Raw genomic sequence first — 24,402 nt, forward strand, 5'->3', positions numbered from 1 at the left:
CCAAGGCTGGAGTGCAGTGGCGTGATCTCAGCTCACTGCCTCCGCCTCCCAGGTAGCAGCGATTCTCCTGCCTCAGCCTCCCGAGTAGTTAGGACTACAGGTAGGTGCCACCATGCCCGGCTAATTTTTTGTATTTTTAGTAGAGACAGGGTCTCACTGTGTTAGCCAGGATGGTCTCGATCTCCTGACCTCATGATCCACCCACCTCAACCTCCTAAAGTGCTGGGATTGCAGGCATGAGCCACCTAGCCCAGCCTATAGCTTTGATTTTGAACCATGAAATGTTTTACATATAGTCAAAATAATAAATGAAAAGGATGAGGGAGAGATAAGCAAACCTGAAAATTGAAGACAAATGAACAAATAAACCTAACATGGATGTGTATGTAATATATTACACAAAATAATTAATTAAAATAATTTTGAGTACAGTATTCTAACTGCATACGTTTAGTGAAATATAGGACAAAAGTCTGCATGGAAAATATAAACTTTATTAATAAATTTTTGTTGAATTATGAAACATTTCTCATGTATTGTCAGATAGAAAAAAATAAATGAATATATTGATGCTGTTGGGAACTGAGTTTTCGCCATAAAACGAATAAAAATATGGAAAGAAGGATAATAAGAGAGAATTAGAGTATTTAAATTTGAAATGAGGAGATTAATAAGAACTTAAGGTTTCCTACCTCTATCTAGAATCAATGACACTTAGTAGCAAAGAGCTCAGCTAGTGCTCAAATTTTAATTTCTAAATACTATTTCTCCCCAAAAGTAAGTGGGCTTTTTGGAGAAAAGGCTAAATTCAAGTCAGATACATGGAAAGTACAAATTGAGTCTGGAACACCTTGTACCAGAAAAAAGGGAAACAGTCACTCAAAGACTAACAAGCTTGTATTAAACAGGACAGAAATCAGCTAAAAGTGCTCTTGATATGAGATAATTTTAGCATGAAAAAAATGGAGGTTATAGACATACTCAAAGTATGAAAAAAGAAGGAGAGTTCTTCTGTAGAAAAGACACCAGTGCCAGCTGATGAATTCAGGTAGAATGATGGAATTCAAAGATCATCATTTTGCAGACACCAATGAAAACAATTGATTGAAAAAAGAAACATCAATAGTTGCTGAAACTTTTGGGTGAAAGATTACACAGCCTTAAGGTTTAATTCCATAGATTACTTATTAATTACAAAGAGAAAAATCATTCTTCACAATAGAGAAATCTGACAGTTTCTTACTGTACCCAAGTGATCAGACTTAACATCACCAAAGGTGGAGTAACTTAACAAGATAAGCTGATATTATGCACCTCCTGTGATTCAATACAAAATAAAGTAGGGTGACATCAGCAAAATGATGAAATAGAAAGTCCCATATCCTCCTTCCTTCCATAGAGTCATCAACTGAACAACAATACATGAATTAATTCCCTTTGTGAAAAATCCAGAAACAAATTAAGACACTGCTGGACCCCAGGCAAGCGCAAAACCAGCTGCATAGAGGCCAGTAAAAAAATTCACAACACTCACTTGCCATAGTCCCTTTCACTGACTCAGCAGAGAGCAACTGGAAGAAAACTCCCAGCTTCTAGCTTCTCCCACAGTCCCATAGGAGGAAAAGATTTGGCTTGTACATTTTTGTACATTGAACATTTAGGCTTTTGGCAGGGGACAGAGGGGCAGAAGGGTGGGTGGATGGTTGCCCGAGAAACTAGTTTTTATCTTATCTGTCTCCAAGTGCTGACAGGACCCAATATATTCTAGAAGCCAGGGGCTGCTGACAACAAAAGACAGCTTGGCAGCTTATAGCAGCTCCAGAGAACACCAGAAGGAGTAATAGATTACAAGGTCTTGGAAGAAAATCAACCAGTAAATCCCTCTAATTGAGAATTTACACACACAAGTCTATTGCAGATGTATCCACAGACTAGAGGTGAGAGGACCTCAGAATCTCTTACTTGGCTGATTGGTGAAGGTTTGTTCCTATACAAACCCTGTTTTTTACAGAGTGAGAGAGGAAGCTATTTTTTGAAATGCACAGACCACAACAAAAGGTAACAAGGCGCATTAAGAAAAAGGAAAATATAGACCAATCCAAGGAACAAAATAAGTCTCCAGAAACCAACTTAATGAAATGGAGAGATTAAATTACCTGACGAGAATTCAAAATAATCATCATAAAGATGTTCAATAAACTCAGGAGAAAAATGGATGAACAAAGTGAGAATTTCAACAAAGAAATAGAAAATATTAAAAATGGAATCAAATAGAAATCTCAGACCTGAAGAATAAAATAACTGAAGTGAAAAAATCACTACCTAGTTTTAATAGCAAACATGATTAAGCTGAAGAAAGAATCAGGGAACTTGAAGACAGGTCATTTGAAATTGCCCAGGGAGCAAAATAAAATAAAACAAAATAAACAGTGAAGAAAGTCTAAGGGACTTAGGAAACAACATCAAGTTTGCAAATATTTGTATTATGGGAGTCTCAAAAAGAGAAGAAAGAGAGAACAATGCAGAAAGCTTATTCGAAGAAATAATGGCCAAAACTTCCCAAATACGGAAAAGGAAGTAGAGATCCAAGTTCAAGAAGGCCAACAAACTCCAACTAGGAAGAACTCAAAGATAACCACACCAGAAAAGGTTATAATAAAAATGCCAAAATTCAAAGGATGTTAAAAGCAGAAAAAGAAAACTGATTCATCACATAAAAGGGAGCCTCCATAACACTATGAGGAGATATCTAGCAGAAACCTTTCAGGACAAAATGGAGAAGGGAGATATATTCAAAATGCTGAAAGAAAAAATAATTGCCAACTGAGAATACTATAGCCTGCAAAATTGTCCTTCAATAATGAAGGAGGAGCTTCTGCACAACAACAAAACTGTCAACAGAGTAAATAGACAGCCTACAAAATGGGAGAAAATATTTGCAAACTATACATCTGACAAAGGTCCAATAGCCAGTATCTATAAGGAACTTAAACAAATTTACAAGAAAAAAAAAAAACAACTTTATTTAAAAAGTGAGCAAGGGACATGAACAGACACTTTTCAAAAGAAGACATACATGTGGCCAATAAGCATATTAAAAAAGCTCAGTATCACTGATCATTAGAAAAATGTAAATCGCTTCATTTCATTCATTTCATCTTCCATCACTAATATCCTTTCCTCCAGTTGATCGCATCGGCTCCTGAGGCTTCTGCATTCTTCACGTAGTTCTCGAGCCTTGGCTTTCAGCTCCATGAGCTCCTTTAAGCACTTCTCTGTATTGGTTACTCTAGTTATACATTCGTCTAAATTTTTTTCAAAGTTTTTAACTTCTTTGCCTTTGGTTTGAATTTCCTCCTGTAGCTCGGAGTAGTTTGATCGTCTGAAGCCTTCTTCTCTCAACTCGTCAAAGTCATTCTCCGTCCAGCTTTGTTCCATTGCTGGTGAGGAACTGCATTCCTTTGGAGGAGGAGAGGTGCTCTGCTTTTTAGAGTTTCCAGTTTTTCTGCTCTGTTTTTCCCCCATCTTCGTGGTTTTATCTACTTTTGGTCTTTGATGATGGTGATGTACAGATGGGTTTTTGGTGTGGATGTCCTTTCTGTTTGTTAGTTTTCCTTCTAACAGACAGGACCCTCAGCTAGAGGTCTGTTGGAGTTTGCTAGAGGTCCACTCCAGACCCTGTTTGCCTGCGTATCCACAGCGGCAGCTGCAGAACAGCAGATTTTCGTGAACTGCGAATGCTGCTGTCTGATCATTCCTCTGGAAGCTTTGTCTCAGAGGAGTACCCGGCCGTGTGAGGTGTCAGTCTGCCCCTACTGGGGGATGCCTCCCAGTTAGGCTGCTCGGGGGTCAGGGTCAGGGACCCACTTGAGGAGGCAGTCTACCCATTCTCAGATATCCAGCTGTGTGCTGGGAGAACCACTGCTCTCTTCAAAGCTGTCAGACAGGGACATTTAAGTCTGCAGAGGTTACTGCTGTCTTTTTGTTTGTCTGTGCCCTGCCCCCAGAGGTGGAGTCTACAGAGGCAAGCAGGCCTCCTTGAGCTGTGGTGGGCTCCACCCAGTTCGAGTTTCCCAGATGCTTTGTTTACCTAAGCAAGCCTGGGCGATGGTGGGCGCCTATCCCCCAGCCTCGCTGCCGCCTTGCAGTTTGATCTCAGACTGCTTTGCTAGCAATCAGCGAGACTCCATGGGTGTAGGACCCTCCGAGCCATGTGAGGGATATAATCTCCTGGTGTGCCGTTTTTTAAGCCCGTCGGAAAAGTGCAGTATTAGGGTGGGAGTGACCTGATTTTCCAGGTGCCATCTGTCAACCCTTTCTTTGACTAGGAAAGGGAACTCCCTGATCCCTTGAGCTTCCCGAGTGAGGCAATGCTTCACCCTGCTTCTGCTCACACACGGTGCACTGCACCCACTGTCCTGCGCCCACTGTCTGGCACTCCCTAGTGAGATGAACCCGGTACCTCAGATGAAATGCAGAAATCACCCGTCTTCTGCATCGCTCACGCTGGGAGCTGTAGACCGGAGCTGTTCCTATTCAGCCATCTTGGGTAAAATACCTAGGAACCCAGCTTACAAGGGACGCGAAGGACCTCTTCAAGGAGAACTACAAACCACTGCTCAGTGAAATAAAAGAGGATACAAAGAAATGGAAGAACATTCCATGCTCATGGGTAGGAAGAATCAATATCATGAAAATGGCCATACTGCCCAAGGTAATTTACAGATTCAATGCCATCCCCATCAAGCTACCAATGACTTTCTTCACAGAATTGGAAAAAACTACTTTAAAGTTCATATGGAACCAAAAAAGAGCCCTCATTGCCAAGTCAATCCTAAGCCAAAGAACAAAGCTGGAGGCATCACGCTACCTGACTTCAAACTATACTACAAGGCTACAGTAACCAAAACAGCATGGTACTGGTACCAAAACACAGATATAGATCAATGGAACAGAACAGAGCCCTCAGAAATAATGCTGCGTATCTACAACTATCTGATCTTTGAAAAACCTGAGAAAAACAAGCAATGGGGAAAGGATTCCTTATTTAATAAATGGTGCTGGGAAAACTGGCTAGCCATATGTAGAAAGCTGAAACTGGATCCCTTCCTTACACCTTATACAAAAATCAATTCAAGATGGATTAAAGACTTAAACATTAGACCTAAAACCATAAAAACCCTAGAAGAAAACCTAGGCATTACCATTCAGGACATAGGCATGGGAAAGGACTTCATGTCTAAAACACCAAAAGCAATGGCAACAAAAGACAAAATTGACAAATGGGATCTAATTAAACTAAAGAGCTTCTGCACAGCAAAAGAAACTACCATCAGCGTGAACAGGCAACCTACAAAATGGGAGAAAATTTTCACAACCTACTCATCTGACAAAGGGCTAATATCCAGAATCTACAATGAACTCAAACAAATTTACAAGAAAAAAACAAACAACCCCATCAAAAAGTGGGCAAAGGACATGAACAGACACTTCTCAAAAGAAGACATTTATGCAGCCAAAAAACACATGAAAAAATGCTCACCATCACTGGCCATCAGAGAAATGCAAATCAAAACCACAATGAGATACCATCTCACACCAGTTAGAATGGCAGTCATTCAAAAGTCAGGAAACAACAGGTGCTGGAGAGGATGTGGAGAAATTGGAACACTTCTACACTGTTGGTGGGACTGTAAACTAGTTCAACCATTGTGGAAGTCAATGTGGCAATTCCTCAGGGATCTAGAACTAGAAATACCATTTGACCCAGCCATCCCATTACTGGGTATATACCCAAAGGACTATAAATCATGCTGCTATAAAGACACATGCACACATATGTTTACTGTGGCTCTGTTCACAATAGCAAAGACTTGGAACCAACCCAAATGTCCAATAATGATAGACTGGATTAAGAAAATGTGGCACATATACACCATGGAATACTATGCAGCCATAAAAAATGATGAGTTCATGTCCTTTGTAGGGACATGGATGAAATTGGAAATCATCATTCTCAGTAAACTATCGCAAGAACAAAAAACCAAACACCGCATATTCTCACTCATAGGTGGGAACTGAACAATGAGAACACATGGACACAGGAAGGGGAACATTACACTCTGGGGACTGTTGTGGGGTCGGGGGAGAGGGGAGGGATAGCATGAGGAGATATACCTAATGCTAAATGATGAGTTAATGGGTGCAGCACACCAGCATGGCACATGTATACATATGTAACTAACCTGCACATTGTGAACATATACCCTAAAACTTAAAGTATAATAATAATAAAATAAAATAAAATAAGAAAAATGTAAATCAAAACCACAGTGAGATACATACCAGTCAGAATGGCTATTACTAAAAAGTCAAAAAATAACAGATGCTGGTGAGGTTGCAGAGAAAAGGGAATGCTTGTACACTGTTGGTGGTAATGTAAATTAGTTCAACCATTGTGGAAAGCAGTTTGGCAATTCCTCAAACACCTAAAGACAGAACTACCATTTGATCCAGCAATCCCATTACTAGATACATACCCAAAGGAATATAAATTGTTCTATCATAAACACACATGCATATGTTTGTTGCAGCACTATTTACAATAGCAGACATGGAACCAGCCTAAATGCCCATCAGTGGTAGGCTGGATAAAGAAAATGTGGTACATATACACCATGGAATACAATGCAGCCATAGAAAGAACAAAATCACATCCTTTGCAAGAACATGGATGGAGCTAGAGGCCATTATCCTTAGCAAGCTACCACAGGAACAGAAAACCAAATACCACATGTTCTCACTTATAAGTGGGAACTAAATGATGAGAACACATGGACACAAAGAGGGGAACAACAGACACTTGGGCTGACCACAGGGTTGAGGCTGGGAGGAGGGAGAAGAACAGAAAAAATAACTCTTGGGTACCAGTCTTGGGTACGTGGGTGATGAAATAATCTGTACATCTAACCGCTGTGACATGAGAGTACCTATATAAGAAAGCTGCACGTGTAACCCTGAATCTAAAATTAAAAGTTAGAAGAAATAAAGACCTATATAAGCAAATACTGAGGGAGTTTATTACCACTATATCGCCTTTACAAGAAATGCTAAAAGGAGTCCTTCAAGTTGAAATGAAAACACCCTAGGCAGCAGCAGAAATTATTATGAGACCATAAAGCTCACTGGTAAAGGTAAATATACAGAAAAATAGATAATACTGTAATATTTTAGTGGCTGTGTATAAATCACCTTTAATTCTGATACTCAAGTTAAAAGGCAAAAGTATAAAAAACACTATAACTATATGACAATAATAAAAAGGGCAAGGGAGGTGAAAGAATAGAGTTTTATATCCAATTGAAGTTAAAGTTGTTATCAGCTTAAAATATCAACTTTATATTTGTTACAACTATAAGATGTTTTATGTAAGCCCCACAGTACCACAAAGAAAATACTTTTTAAAAACTACCAAATAAATGAGAAAGAAATCAAAGCCTATCACTATACAAAAATCAACAAAACACAAAGGAAGACAGCAAGAGAAGAAAAGATGGACAGAAAAGCCTCAAGACAAAACAATTAACAAAATGGTAATAGTAAGTGCTTCCCTATCAGTAGTTACATTACATGTAAATAAATTAAACTCCTCAATCAAAATGGATATAGTAGCTGAATGGATAACAAAAACAAGATCCAGCTATTGTTGTCTACAGAACACTAGCTTTAGATTTAAAGACACTCACAGGCTGAAAGTGAAAGCATGGAAAATTTATTCCATCCAAATGTTAACCGAGAGAGCAAAAGTAGCCATATTCATATCAGAAAAAATGGACTTTAAGTCCAAAACTGTCACACAAAAAAAGAAGGACATAATCTAGTGATTAAAAAGTCAATTAACCAGGAAGATATAACAATTATAAATATAAACGCATGCAAATTCAAAGCACCCAAATATGTGTAATAATCATTGAGATAACTGAAGGGAGAAATAGACAGTAACACAATAATAGTAGAAGATAGCATCCTACTTTCAACAATAGAACACTTAGACCAAAAATCAATAAGAAAACAATACTTGAACAACACTATAGACCCAATTGACCTGGCCAACTGATACAGAACATTTTACTCAACAGCAGCAGAATGCACATGCTTCTCAAACTCACACAAAATACATTCCAGGATAGATTACATGTTGGATCACAAAATAAGTCTCTTTTCAGAACATTGATATCATACCAAGTATCAATTCCTACCACAGGGAATGAAACTAAAAATCAATAGCAGAAGGAAAAATGGGAAATTAACAAATATGTGGAAATTAAATAAAACACTCTTCAATAACAATTTGGGTACAAGAAAAAAATCAAAAGAGAAATTTAAAAATACCTTGATATAAGTAAAAACAAAACACCTACCAAAACTTATGGAATGCAACAAAAGCAGTATTATGAGGGAAGTTTATAGTGATAAATGTCTACATTTTTAAAAACAGAAAGAATTAAAATAAATAGTTTAATTCTACCTCAGGGAAACTCAAGAAACTAGAAAAAAAAGAGCAAACTAAACTCAAAATTAGTAGAAAGGAAACAATAAAGATTAGAGCAAAAATAAATGAAATAGAAAATATAAAAATAAGAGAAAAAATCAATGAAATTGGTTTTTTGAAATGATTAACATCATTGGCAAACCTTTAGTTACTAACAAAAAAGGAAGAAGACTCAAATAAATAAAATTGGAAATGAAAGAGAAGACATTACAACTGATCACTGGAATAAAGATGATCATAATAGTCTATAATGTACAATTATACACTGATAAATTGGAATAACCTAGAAAAAATGGATATATTTCTAAACACATACAACCCCCAAGACTTCATCTTGAAGAAATAGAAAATCTGAGCAGGCTTGTAACTAGTAAGGAGACTGAGTCACTAACCAAAAGCCTTCCAACAAAGAAACTTCCAGGAACAGATGTCTTTACTGGTGACTTATATCAAACATTTAAAGAACTAATGCCAATCCTTATCAAACTCTCCAAAAAAACGGAATAGAAGGGAACTCTTCCAAACTCAGTCTATGAGGTCAGCAATAGCCTGATACCAAAGCCAGACAAATATACTATGAGAAGAGAAACTATAGGACAATATTCTTGATGAACATAGATACAAAAATCCTCAAAAAAATAGTGCAAACTAAATTCAACAGCACATTAAAAGGTTATACACCATGACTAAGTGGCATTGATTCTTGGGATGCAAGGATGTTTCCACATACAAAAATCAGTTAATGTAATATACCAAAATAACATAATTAAGGATAAAAATGTTATGATCATCCCAATAGATACAGAAAAATTGTTTGACAAAATGCAATATGATTTCATGATAAAAACTTGCAACAAAGTAGGAATAAAAGGAAATTACCTCAACGTAATAAAAGCCATATATGAAAAACCCCACAAGTAACCTCATTCTTCATGGTAAAAACCTGAAAACTTGCGTGAGGAACAAGGCAAGGACTCCCACTGTGATCATTTCTATTCAACATTGTACTGGAAGTACTAGCCATAGCAGTTAGGCAAGAAAAAAAAAAAGACATCCAAATTGTAAATAAAAGAGTAAAATTATCTCTGTTTGGAAATGACATGATCTTATATTTAGAAAACCCTAAAGATTTCACACAGAAACATACACACGCAGGCACACATGCATGCACACACACAAAAACAACTGTTAGAATTAACAGTTCCAGGATACAAAATCAACATACAAAAATGAGTTATGTTTCACTAACCACAAACTATCCAAAAAGAAAATTAAGAAAACAATCCCATTTATAATAGCATAAAAAAGAATAAAATACATAGAAATAAACTGTCCCAAGTCAGTAAGCAACTTGTACACTGAAAACTGCAAAATATTCCCAAAAGAAATTAAAGAAGATACAAATAAATGGAAAGATACTCCATGGTCATAGATTGGAAGGTTAATATTATTAAAATGTCCATACTACTCAAAGTAATCTACAGATTAAATGCAAACCTCATCAAAATCCCAGTGGCATTTTTTACCGAAATAGAAAAAACAATCCTAAAATTCACATGGAACCACAAAGGGCCCCAAAAATCCAAAACAATTTTGAGACAGGAGAACAAAGCTGGAAGCATCCTACTTCCTGATTTGAAAATATATTACAAAGATATAGTAATTAAAGCAGTATGGTGATGTTACAAAGATAGACACATAGACCAATGGAACAGAATACAGAGCCCAGAAATAAATCTATGCATATGTTGTCAACTGACCTTTGACAAGGGCATCAAGAATACCCAATGAGGAAAAGATGGTCTCTTCCACAAATGGGGTTGAGAAAACTGAATATTCACATATAAAAAATTAAAATGGACCCTTATCATACACCATACACAAAAATCTATTTAAAATGGATTAAAGACTTAAAAGTAAGACCTGACACTGTAAAATATTCCAATAAAAACATAAAGGAAAAACTTCATTACATTAGTCTTGGCAATGATTCTTGAATATGACACCAAAAGCACATGCCACAAAAGCAAAAATAGACAAGTGGTGGAATTACATCAAATTAAAAAGCTTCTGCACATTAAAAAAAATAAAATAACCAACTGAGGGAAAATGCAACCTATGGAATGGGAGAAAATACCCTCATATTGTATGTCTAATAAGGAGTTAATATTCAAAATATAAAAGGAACTGCTACAACTCAATAGCAAAAAACAAAAACAAATAATCCAATTAGAAAGTAAACAAAGAACTTGAATAGTCCTTTCTCCAAAGACGACATGACCAACAGGCATATGAAAAGAAATTATAGGTCAATGCTCCTGATGAATATAGATGTTTAAAAAAGTCACTAATCATCAATTTTTATATAAATTCATATATATAAATATAAGTAAGTGCTAGTGAGAATGTAGAGAAATTTACATACATACAAAAGTCACTAATCTCATATATATACACACAAGTGCTAGTGAGAATGTGGAGAAATTAGAACTCTTGTACACAGTTGGTAAGAATGTAAAATGGTACGGCTGCTATGGAAAACTATGGAGGTTCCTCAAAAAATTAAAAATAGAACTACCATATGATTCAACAATTTGACTTCCGGGTATACATCCAAAAAAACTGAAATTGGGATCTTGAAGAGATACATGCACTCTCATATTCACTGCAGTATTATTCACACAGCCAAGATGAGGAAACAACCTAAATGTCCATCAATCGGCAAACGGGTAAAAAACGTAGTATATTCATACAATAAAACGTTATTCAGCCTTGAAAAGAACAGGGAAATCCTGCTATGTGTGACAACATGGATCAACATTGAGGACATTATGCTAAGTGAAATAAGTCAGTCACAGAAGAACAAATACTGCTTGATTCCACTTAACATGAGATATCTGAAACAGTCGAACTCATAAAAGCAGATAGTAGATTTATGATTGCCAGGAGCTTGGGGAGGGTTCAATGGATATAAATTTTCAATTATGCAAGATGAATACCCTCTAGAGATCCAGTGTACAACACACACACCTATAATTAACAATACTGTACTGTATATTTAAATTTTTAAGAGGGTAAATTTCATGTTATATTGTTGTATTTTTTTACCACAATTTTTAAAAAGAAAAAAAGAAAGAACTTTTAAAATATCTTTTTGTATTCTTAATCTAATGAAGAAATAATCAGACAAATGCAAACACTGATATATTCTATAAAACAAATAGTCTGGACTTTTCTAAAAAGGACAATATAGTGTTTTTTAAAAATAGGAAGAAAGAGGATTATTCTAGCTTAAAAGAAACTAAAAGGCATAATAATGTAATGTAATTTATAAGCCTAAGCTTTCATTGGATCTGGAATTTTTAAAAATATACATCTATAAAAGTCACTTTTAAGTTATTTTTTAGCCCCAAAATAAAGAGGCTTAAAAAAACATTAATCATTTTACAATCTCTCATGATTTCTGTAGGTCAGAAATCAGAAAAACCTGAAGTGGGCCGGGCACAGTGGCTCACGCCTGTAATCCTAGCACTTTGTGAGGCTGAGGCAGGCGGATCACCTGAGGTCAGGAGTTTGAAACTAGCCTGGCCAACATGGCAAAACCCCGTCTTTACTAAAAATAAAAGAATTAGCCTGGCATGGTGGCTGGTGCCTGTAATCCCAGCTACTCAGGAGGCTGAGGCACAAGAATCGCTTGAACCCAGGAGGCGGAGGTTGCAGTCAGCCAAGATCAGGCCACTGCACTCCAGCCTGGGTGACAGAGCAAGACTCCATCTCAAAAAAAAAAAAAAAAGAGAGCTGAACTGGGTGATCCTGGCTCCAGGTTTCTCATGAGGTTGCAGTCAGATGGTAACTAGAGCTGGAAAACCAGGTGGCAGTGACTAGAGCATCTGTGAGCTGGTGGGCATCTCTTCATGTAGTCCCAGGGCTTTTCCATGTGATCTTTACCGGGGGGCTTATCTGGGTCTCTTCCCAGAACAATCAGACAGCTTTAAGGCTCCATCAAGTGTTGCAGCAAGTAAGGCAGAAGCAGAATTGCCTTGGATTCAGAAGTCACAGCATCACTTTTGCTGTCACAAAAGCCTGCCCACATTCAAACACAGAATAAATAAATTATCTCTCTTTATAGGAGACTGACAACATTCTGGAAGAAAGAGAAATTGTGGTAGTCATTTTTGGAAAATAGAATTTACCACAGACAACAATGAGGCAGTTGGGGAAATTTAAATCTGGACTGTATAATAGATGATACTGAATTAATAACCAGTTTTCTTAGGTGTGATGATGAGATTCAGTTATATAAAAAATGTACTTATTCTTACATGATACATGCCAAAAGATTTAATGGCAGTGTCTTGATATCTGCAACTTGTTTTCAAATGATTCAGCAAAATAAAAAATAAAGAGAGAGACCGGGCACCATGGCTCACGCCTGTAATCCCAGCACTTTGGGAGGCAGACCCAGCACTTTGGGAGACAGAGGTCGGCAGATCACGAGGTCAGGAGTTCGAGACCAGCCTGGCCAATATGGTGAAACCCCATCTCTACTAAAAATACAAAAAATTAGCCAGGTTTGGTGGTGCACACCTGCAGTCCCAGCTACTTGGGAGGCTGAGGCAGAAGAATCGCTTGAATCCGGGTGGTGGAGATTGCAGTGAGCCGAGATCGCACCACTGCACTCCAGCCTGGGCGACAGAGTGAGACCCCATCTCAAAAAAAGAAACAAAGAAAAAATAAGTGTGGTGAACTGTAAGTAATCAGAGAATAGGTAAAGGTTACACAGATGTTCACTCTACTAATTATTTGCCTTTTCTATAGATTTAGGATATTTTTCTCAATTAAATGAAGAGAAAGTAAAATATAAGTCAGATAGCATTATTTTTCTGCTCACAACCCTCCAATCTTCTCTCTTCGGAGTAGAAGGCAGGCTGCTTACCAAGGCCTGCAAGATCCTGTGTGATTCCCAAAGCTTACCTCTCTGATTTCATCTCCAGGCAAAGGAAACAGCAAGTACAAAACCCCCATGAGTGTGCTTGGGGTGTTTTAGAAACAGCAAGTTGTTTACAATTTCCTACTTTTAATTGATGTTTCAAATATCTTCTACTTAAACCTTTGTGTACACTTCTTAGAGAATTCCTATTTTGACCTCAAGTCCCTGCCTACTCATTTCTTTCTTTGTAGTAGAAACTTCAGCCCTAAAAGAACTCAGTCAAAGCCAAATCATTTCTCACTACCCCCAAAAAGGCCTACAAATTTGGGCCAGGAGAGGCAATCCTGGCAAGGAAATTTTTTTAAAAAGGTCCCAGTTACACTCAAATTGGGAGTTTCACTAAATTGATATCCCCCTTAGGATGCTTAATGCTCAGCTTCAATCTTACCTCCAGGGCATATGATATTGTATCATATCTGAGATTTAGATTGCTGAGGCATTTCCTATCATAACTCAGTAGGTTCTTAAGATTTTACTTTGCAGAGTTTAATCCACTGGGGTTTTTTTGTCTGGTTGCTTAGGCTAATGCTGCTTGGTGTTCTGAGCGACCTCACTTCCCTGTGGCCCTAGAGTGTGGGGTGACCTGTTGCAGATGTTAGTAATTTCCTATCTTGGGTGGAGGCCCTCACAGAAGCTTTATTTGCATATGAGTGTATTTGCCCCTGATGTTTTGGTCTTGGATGTCAGCGGAATTGTCCGTCCTTCTGAAGGTCATACAATACCGCTTTCCAGGGAGGTATTATAACACAGATAATTGAATAATTGGGCCCTCTCTGTTTTCCAAAAGGAGTGGGTTTGCCACATCTTTTCTTGCAAACTAGCAAACCTAGGGTTAAGTAGGGCTTGTTGGTAAATGTAGCGTGTCAGGAGCTCACAGCCAGATATGAGCCAGTAAGCAACGTAGGTGTCCTGGGATGACAAAGGAGGAACATACACACCTCAGTTGTCTTGCTGATTCTACTCTGTGCTTCCATGTCCCCTTCTGTAAAAATGTCAATAACACTACAATAATAATAGAGGTCTCTCTTATGAGAAATTGGTTATTTAGTAGACATTATAAATCAAGGTTTCAAAAAGTATTATCGGGCCATCTCAATGTTCATTGCAGTTGGCATCAGTAAAGTGAACATGGTCAAGGTGATATTCTCTAACCATAGTAAAATAAAGGGCTGAGGCATTCATTTGGTGTAAATAGGACAAACACCAGGGAGGCTTGGCCAGGTGTCTTTTGTAGTAAAATTGGGATTCTGAGATTGCTGTTTTCCAACTTGGCAACAGCCTTAAACATCTTGGTATCCTTTAATGTTATGATTCCACTTCTAGGGATGTCTCCTAAGGAAAGAGTGCTAAATAGAGAAAAAGTGTAAATTGTAATGGCGACAGAAAATAGAAACAACCTGAATGTCCAACTGAAGGGAAAATGTGTAAATAAATCATATTCACTTTATAGATGATTGTACAGACTTAAAAATTTATGCTTATGAATAATTTGGTGATAACATGAGGTATGAGAGATATGTATAAAAAGAATACAAAATTATACATAAATGGCAAAGTTTTAAAACAAAATGTCATTAAAATAACAAAAAGATATGGATCTTTGAATGTTGAGGATTGGGCATATTTTTCTTTCTGCTCTTCCATATTTTTTAATTTTTCTTTAATGATTTTATGTCACTTTTTCTAACAAGAAGGATAAAGCACTGATTAAAAGTGCTAAGATGAGTTCTTAGCAAAGAATGATTATTCCTATCTAATTATGTATTAACATTTATATGAATCATACTAACATTATATGACTCATTTTAAGATAATATATTAAGAGGTTCATTAAAATGATACTTTTTGAGTATATAAGGAATCTTTTTCTTCACATTTCAAAACATTAACTCTTTCTAAAAGTCCATAGTGTGAGAGGTAAAACACTAATAATATGTAAACTATCAGCAATTGTACTTCTCGCCATAACAACTGTATGGATTGCAGACAAGAACAAGGAAATAAATAAGAAAGTCCCCTTGAGAAGGGAGAGAAGACAAAAGGAATCTACTTTGTGCCAGGCAATGTGCTACATGCTTTCATAAATGACCTTATTTAATCCTCACAACAACTCTATGAGGCATATATATGTGTGTGTGTGTGTGTGTGTATATATATATATGATAAAATAAGATATATACACATCTTATTTTACCCTAGCAGCAATTCTGTTAGATGAGGAAACTGAAAATTCTAATAGATGAAGAAACTGAGGTTCAAAGAAGTTGCATAATTGGACCAAAGGAAAACAACTAAGAAACAAGCCCACATTCTTTCCACTGTCATTGTGCTTTGTTGATAGACTACCCCTGGCCCATGCTCATAGCCTTAGATAGCCTCATTTTTAAACAGAATTTGGTCACACTTCTTAGTCTGGTTTCTTATCCTAAGGGATGTAGTATACACAAACATTAGAACATGACAGAAAGAAGAGAAGGAATGCTAGAGCAATAGCAATGGGGAATGAAAGCTGACAAAAGAGTAAACCACCAAAACAAAAAAACAAAAACAAAACTCAACCCTATTAAAAAGCAGCCCAGGAACTCAAAAAGCATAGCTATATAGCAGTATGGAACTATTTTATGACAGAATATACAACTCTATGTCATGCTGAGGTAATCATCATATTCAGTACTTTATTTTCCATATACTCTGTATGTACACACTCTGTATACAGTATGTATATGTATTAGGGGGAATGTAATATATAAAAATTTTTTGAACAATGGGTATTGCCACTCTTTCCTTTAAGGGTTCTGGCTTGATGAAGTTTTGTTCATTGGTTTGTCTTGCTTTGCTATTGTAATACATAGAATTCCAGTAGAAGATCTACAAACACAAGCTGATTCTTAAACTGAGAAAGCAATATCCAGAGTCAGAACTTGCTTTTTGCTTATCTACCTAACTAAAAGCTGAAGAATAAATGAAGCAGTGACTGGTTATTGATACACTTTGCAACATTTCACTAGAACAACTTAAAACTGGAATTGAAGCATCAACTGAAGATTTCTGTGCAACTGTGGTTTAAATTGAATGCTGCGCTTTGTATAAACATAATTTTTTGTGGTTTAACTTTAGGCTGTTCTCTGCGGTCTTCCCATATAATGGGAATGCGTCAGAAGCACAGCTTCGTTTCCTGTGTAGGCTGGAAACTGTTAACTGCAAAGTTTGGAGACAGTCTCAGAGAGCTCACTGCCATATGTTAAACTAAACTTGATATGAAAAATCATATCAGTTTCCAGTTTCCCAGAACATTAAAAAGAAAAATAAAAAAGGAGCTCAAGCTTTATAAATATAAAAAGCATCTGTCTGCACAGGAAATTCTACTCTGTTATTTTGCAAATGATCCCTACTTATATTTACAAGAGAAATCAGATCTGATGAACTATATGGAAGTAACACATTATTTTGTTCAAAATTTTGAAATATATATTTATAATTCTGTACAGCTGGCTGGACTGTGAACTAACTATCATTGTACAGAGATCTCAACAGTGCTGCCCAGCATGATCTTAAAGCATGTATGTTTCCAAGTGAAAGGTGATGGAATATTTTGACAGCATGCTGCTAACTTAAACATTTTTGTTTAATGTAATTTTTGTGTCTAAGTGCTCCCAACCACCATTTCCAAGACAAGAAGACTCATGAGCATTCAGAAAACATTTGGCACTGTTTCATTTTAATTTTTTACTTCTCCTTGACTCTTTGAGCCTAGAAAGAATTTTCTCTGTAGTTGCTCACCCAGGTACAAGTGTCCTTGAGTTAATCTTCGGTAGCTCATTTTAGAATCCGACTGTGACTAAAGTTGGATTCTGTGACTGCCTTCTTGCCTGCCTCTCCACTGTCACCTATAATTTTGTCATTTCTTTTGCTCTGAACCAGCTTGCTATGCTAAAAGCCATCCCTTCCTTTCACATTTTATAATCCTCATAAGATTAACAGCCAAAATCCATGACCAGAACTCTGACCACGTACAGTCTACAGAGGACTTCATGCTACCTTGATAATACCCCGTATTTTACCAGCAACCATCTCTCAGACTTGACTATAACCCTCTGGTGTACCTCATCAATTCAATGCTCCAGTGTTTATCCTTGATTTCATTGTTTTCTTGCCTCACAGAGGTACCTAGAGATTTTTTCCAACAGAATCTTTCTGCCTTTTTCACTTAATAGCCTATCTATGCCAGTATTCCCAAGTAAACTCCCTTTAACTGTAAAGCCATTAATTTTTTCTTCTGATTTCTTCTTTTCTCTTTCCCACCTTTGTCTTGCCCAGTTTTTACTTATTTTCATTCCTCTAGTAACTTAGGCCTCCTCTTACTCTCAGTTCCTTTTATTACCATTATTTTCTCTAAAATCAGATTAATATCATATATTAATAATAATTAGTCATCCATCACTAAGTAGTGCCCACATTTACTAACTTCTCTGACTTAAAAGTTGCTGTCTTATCTATGTTCTTTTCTTTCCTAGACAACACTTTGGAATAGTATCTTTTCTCCCCCTACCTTATCACAAGAAGATTAAAATGACTCTTCTAGTAACAATTACACCTACCCTCTCTTATCTCGCACACTGGGAGGCACACGCCATGGGCCCTCCTTGATAGAGGTGAAGCTAAACCATATCCTTGTGGCAACTTATAAAAACCTCAATTGTGTGGTTTGCCTCTGCCTGTTCCTGAGGGCATGCAGACATAACGAACTTCTCTCTCAGCCTGGACCTGTGCTGGAAAAGAGTTTGACGCCCACTAAAACAGGCATTTCACTGTGAATTAGAAAGCCTCTGGAGAAGAGACTTTATGTAAATGTGTGTTCTCAGTGTGGAATTGTTCTTCCATGTTTACAATTGTTTGTGTGTCTTTTTCTCTGTGCCAAATTTCAGGTGACTGGAGACTGATTAGCTGGTCTGTGCTATCCTTACTCCACTTTAGCCAACACATTGCACATTCTTACCTCCAAAGTGGCAAAAAATGCAAATGTGTATCATTATGCTTTATTAGCTTTAGTAAAAAGTTTGCCATATTAAAGGTTAAAATTTTTGGCAATTTTTTGTACTCCTCGAATATCTAATTATTTAGATTAAAATAATTATATAATTATTCTAGTTACCTTTCTTGAATTTAAGTCTTAAAAAAAACCCTGCAAGCAAACATTTACCTATGTAACAAACCTGCACATCTTGCACATGTACCCCAGAACTTAAAATTTAAAAAAAAACCTGCAAGCAAACCTATCCCCTACATATTTTCTCATACTTCATCCATACATTTAACATTATAAATTCTTTTAACTGTTTCTTCTTAAATTACTTTGCACTATGCCTTCATAACATTATATGCAGATAGAAAGTTGCATATTATTATGACCAAAGGTCATTTATTATCTAACCTTTCATCTTGGTGTTGATGATGGTCAGCTCATTAAATTGTTCTTCTCAACCTGGGAGAATTAAGCCCTAATGCTCTTATGAATCCATTGCACGTGATGAGTTCACTTCTCTAGCTTTGTACCCTTGTTGTGAGAATTATGAAAATAGGCAGTTGAATTATTTTCTCCATAATGATATAGAGAAATAATAATACAGAGAATGTGGAATGTTCTCAAAAACTGGTTAAGAAAGGCTACATTAAGAAATATTTATTAAACTTCTAATATGAGACACCCACTACACTAATTGATAGAACAAAAAAGCTTTGTAAGCCATAACCCTTTCTCTTAAAGAATTTACATTTTACTTTATGAGATATGAAATAATCTGATGAAAGATCTGGAAAATAATCAATGGAATTTGAGATTGAATTATGCAGCATCAACTTGAAATTTGAAAGTAAAAAAAACTATGTGAACTTCATCAATAATAGAGGTCTTCAAGGAGAAGGTAGATTTAAGTTGAAACCTTAATTTAGATTTAAATGAAAATTGAAAATAGACAATGAATTATCTATGAATTGTGAGGAAGTGAGGAGGCATTCAGGACAAGGAAGAGGAAAGCCATAAGACAGTAATAAGCAAATCAGGTGATAGAACCAAGAGTCACAAGCAAATCATTTAAATAATCCAAATATCAAATTTCTTAACTATTAAAAAAATAGGGAAAATGTCAGTCTCACAGGGTTGTGGCAAAGAACAAGTTTGTGAAGATAATGTATGTGAAGGTACTGGGAAATATAGAGACAGTAAGGGCTCCTGGTAAATAGGATAGGATTCTTAGGATAAAGACAGCTTAGGAAGGTTTTTGCCATTTGCCTCTTTCTCATTAAAATGGCATGCAGATTATTCAGCATCCTCTATGCTGTACAGCATGAATTATTTCTAGAAGATTAATCACCAAATCAAATGCAAAAGCATCCTTCTACCAAGTTTTTTCTTGTCTTTGATGAAATCACTGGGTTCACTGCTTTTATCAGTTTTCATTTGGATAATATTTAAAATGCTCTTTTATCCCAATTTGAATACCCTCAATCAATGTCAGCCTCTTTTAATTTGGTTTAAGATTACAGGAAAACATCATGACCCTATAGATTTTTCCACCACAACTATTAAGAACAATGGAGCCAGACATATTTTAACAACAAAAGAACATGAATGGAGTTTGCCTTTTGACTTATCATTTAAGTCCTGGGTTTCAGATCATGATAAATATTTCAGAATGGGGTAATCCTGGATCATGATTATAAAGTATATCAAGGCTGCAACACAAGTGCTGCTGGGATTTTTTAAAGGGAAACATTCTTATGAGTCTTGAAGTCTCAATGAAGAATGGAAGATTTGAATGAGTTTTCCTGGATGATCATGATTCGGTTAGGTGAAGGAGTGGAGAAGGCAACAATCTGCAGGAAGAATAATCCTGGAATGTTTAGAAAATCCAGGAGGGGCTTTACTGAAATGGAAATCTAATACTGGAGAACAATGAGAAATAAAGTTGGATAGTTACAGTTAAGTTGAATGAGTAACTAATTCAGTCACCACACACACCCTATTTTAATTTCTTAAGCATATTCTGAGGGTCTCAAGGACCCACAGGAAAAAAAAAAGCATAAGTCCTTTTAAAAATTGTATTATATCTACGACATCCATATAACAAGGCTGAAATTAGAATCTGGATGTGTTATTTTAATATTTTTAATTGTGATAAAATACACATAATGTAAAATTTATCATCTTAATTATTTTTAAGTACAGAACTCAGTAGTGTCAAGCACATTCACATTGTTGTGACACAGGTCTCCAAAACATTTTCATATTGCAAATCTGCATCTCTATATCCATCAAACAGCAATTCCGTATTCCTCCTGCCCCGAATCCTTAGCAACTACTATTCTGTTTTATGTCTCTATAAACTTGACTATTCCAGGTACCTCACTTAAGTGGAACCAAACAGTATTTTTCTTATTGTTACTGGCTTATTTCACTTAGCATAATATCCTCAAGGTTCATTGATGTTATCGCATGTGTCAGAATTTTCTTCCTTTTTAAGACTGAGTAATATTCCATTGTATGTATATATCACATTTGGTGTATTCATTCATTCATTGATGAACACTTAAATTGCTTCCACCTTGTGGCCATTGTGAATAAAAGCTGCAGTGAACATGGGTGTACAAACATCTCTTCAAGACCCTGTTTTCAGTTGTTTTAGGTATATACCCAGAAGCAGAATTGCTGGATCATATGGTAATTCTATCTTCAATTTTTTGAAGAATCATTATACTGTTTTCCATAGCAGCTATACCACTATACATTCCCACCATCAGTGCACAGGGATTCCAACTTTCTCACAACCTTGCCAACACATTATTTCCTGTTGCTTTGATACTAGCTATCCTAATAAGTTTGAGATTATTTTAGTATTGCCAAATATTGTGATTTATCCTACTTGCAAGCTAAAAGTTGGCCAGCTACAATTCATGGATGCTGGAAGAAGGCATGAGGTTAAATATAAAGGACAGCAATAGCAATAGCCAGAATATCAGATATATTACCTAAGAGGAACTCCAACTTTAGAGAACCCAAATCTCACATAATAGGCAATAAACCTGTCTGACTTTTGCCCTAGAAAGTCATAATTTTTATTATGGTGGACAATAGACAAACCTGACCTTTGCCCTGGGGGGAGACACTATTTCTGTCTTCCAAGGCTGTTTACTTTACAAATATCTTTAAAAAGATAGTCCAGGGAAAAAAAGGCAGTCAGTATATTTGCTTGTAAGATTTACCTAAATGAGAGACCCATTGAAAGCGTGCCATAATGAGTAACTTCACATATTTTTAACATTAGTACTGCATAAGAAAACATTTATTCCTATAAATCAGATATGAATAGTAATCTATAAATTGAGGTTTGCAAAAATTAGGTTTTTTTAATTAAATTAGATCATAATGCAAGCCCTCATTCTGCCATAATTACTAGAAATCTAACTTCAGTTATCTGATCAATGGTGAGAATTTGGAAGTGGTAAGGGAGGGAAGGTGGAGGTCCACTCCCAATTAAACTTTTTTAAAAACTAGAAAAGTTTTAGTGTCTGGAAAATGAAGTAATATCCTGTAGCCTTAAACCTATTATTGTGTTTAATATATATGTATCCTTGGCTTAAATGAGCAAGACTAATAAAATCCAGAAACAGCCTCATTATTTTTCCTGTGCCCATCCCTATAAGCCAATCTGTAGGGCTAGTTCCTCCCATCTCCCCAGAAAAAAAACTCAAGTAAGCCTCAACATTTTTTGGTTATTCTCAGATACTAAAAAGTTCTCCAGTCACTTTAGTTGTGAATAAGTCTCAATTTAGTAAGTAATGTATCCAATATTATATAATAATCAAAGTACTAAATGTAATTTAAGGTTGAAACTTTTAACCCCTGCCCTCATCCTACAGCTCTACTTTACTACAAGGAAGGCTCTTCAATGGGAAAATGAGGATGATAGACTTTGTCTCTATTTCCTACCTTACGCCTCCAGTTAACATGGTTCTTAACACATCTAGGGTGAAAATAGAGGGGGAGTGGAGGAAGAGGAGAGGTAAGAGCCAAAGACAAAGAAATAGGGTTTGTTTGTTTTTTTAACCTTTATTTTAGATTCAGGGGATATATGTACAAGTTTGTTAACTGAGTGTATTTCCTGATGCTGAAGTTTGGGGTTCAAATGATCCCATCAACCAGGTACTGAGAATAGGACCCAACAGCTAGTTTTTCAACTCTTGCCTCTCTCCCTTCCTCCCCTCTCTGGCAGTCCCCAGTGTCTACTGCTGCCATCTTTATGACCATGAGTATCCAACGTTTAGCTTCCACTTATAAGTGAGAATATGTGGTATTTGGTTTTTTGTTCCTGCATTAATTCACGTAGGATAATAGCCTCCAGCTGCATCTATGTTGCTGCAAAGGATATGATTTCATTGCTTTCCATGGCTGTGTAATATTCTGTGGTGTCCCTCTTTGAGTGGTACAAAGAAGTACACAGATCAACTTAGGAGACAATTCAGTAGCCTGTTCAAAATAACCCACTAAATGCCAGGAAGTAACAGTTTGGAGACAAATTTGGTTAGATAGGTGACTTTTCAATTTAGCTTTGGTTTAATCTTGAGTCTTCTCAGAGCCTAGATAAAAGCCTAAGAAGAAAGCACCACAGGATTGGGTCATGTAGTGCATCTACAGTGTACCTAGTTGTACAGACATTTTCTAGAGGCTGGTGGGTGACCTAAGGTCAAGTAGCCCATTTCTTGACCAGCTTATACTTTTACAGTCATCTTATTTTTCAGTGATGAACACTCTAATATCTCCTAAGTGCCCTCACCTAACCACACAGGAAAAAGAGGAAAGAAACGAAATACCTGTGAATTCCAACAGCCAGAGTTTGTGTCCCCTGCAGTAATAACCATTTACTGTAACCACTGTCAGTTACCTTTAAAACTACAGCTCTTGCCAATGACTCATCAGGCAAAGTGCCACCTCATAGCACAAACTAATCCTTGGTACCCAAAATGCCAAAGAAATCAGATATCTCAATGTAAAGGAGAGCAAAGCTTCAGACTTGAGGGGAACCTACTCACGATTCTCAGGGCTCCATGAGGAAGACAGAGTACTCCAAAAAAGAAATCAGTGGCACCTTCCCTGTGTTGTTCCTCAAAGGGTATCAGAGTCACCAGAAGTCTCCTTTAGGTCTCTTCAGGTAGCCACGAGAACTCTATTCCCTCTTAGTAATTTCCCATCTCCTGACCACCAAATGAAGGAGGTAGGGGCTAGAAGAGAAACGTATCAAGAATGCAAGGAAACTGGATGGAAGATAAACGATGGTTAAAAGGAAGAAGGAGGAGCAGGAAATGGAAAGAACAGATCTGAGAGGAGCCAGTTTGAGATCTTGTTTTCCAAAAAGGCCAGGGAAGTTCCACATTATCTTCAGCAAAAATAATGCCGACAAGAAAGGAAGCAAACAGAAGGGCTGAGCATTTAGTTAGCATGAGTTTGAGAAGCTTCAATTAACTGAGAAGCTCCCATGGGAGAAGCAAGATCCAATACAGAGACCAGAGAGGCCTTAAATAAATTATACCCTGAATATCAACTTCCAATTAAGCTCACTTCTGACCATAGAGCTCTTTTAAATATCTTTTCAAAAATTATCAGATTTCGGCTGGGACAAACAGCAAATATTCTTGGCTCTATTTTCTCCCATTAAGCCAACAATATTGAACTAATCTTATTTACCAGAGATTCACCTAAGTCACATGAAAGTGAAAAACATTTGGGTTTGTTACTATATTTTCAGCAGTTTTAGGTATATTTAGTTAATATGAGTGTCCATTTATCTATAAGGCAATTTGAAACTCA

General features: G+C 36.6%; 1 protein-coding gene and 1 long non-coding RNA gene across 14 annotated transcripts in view; one reads left to right on the top strand and one right to left on the bottom strand.

Moving 5' to 3' along the window:
- The window catches only part of NDST3 (N-deacetylase and N-sulfotransferase 3), a 225,313-nt gene that overhangs the window by 124,144 nt on the left and 76,767 nt on the right, over positions 1-24,402 (top strand). For 2 of the 13 annotated variants that reach the window (XM_047416415.1, XM_011532416.4), the window contains exon 7: positions 1-21,185. This exon is cut by the window's left edge and continues 12,522 nt beyond it. The exons of the other annotated variants lie outside the window; for them this stretch is intronic. The gene's annotated coding sequence lies outside the window, so the exon portion shown is untranslated. Of the gene's footprint in view, positions 21,186-24,402 lie in introns of those variants that run through there. 13 annotated transcript variants of the gene reach the window in all.
- Positions 1-24,402, bottom strand: part of LOC107986307 (uncharacterized) — a 149,690-nt gene that overhangs the window by 102,729 nt on the left and 22,559 nt on the right. The gene's annotated exons all lie outside the window — the stretch shown is intronic.

The sequence above is a fragment of the Homo sapiens genome, chromosome 4 (genome assembly GCF_000001405.40).
Source record: "Homo sapiens chromosome 4, GRCh38.p14 Primary Assembly".
Taxonomy (NCBI): Eukaryota; Metazoa; Chordata; class Mammalia; order Primates; family Hominidae; genus Homo; species Homo sapiens.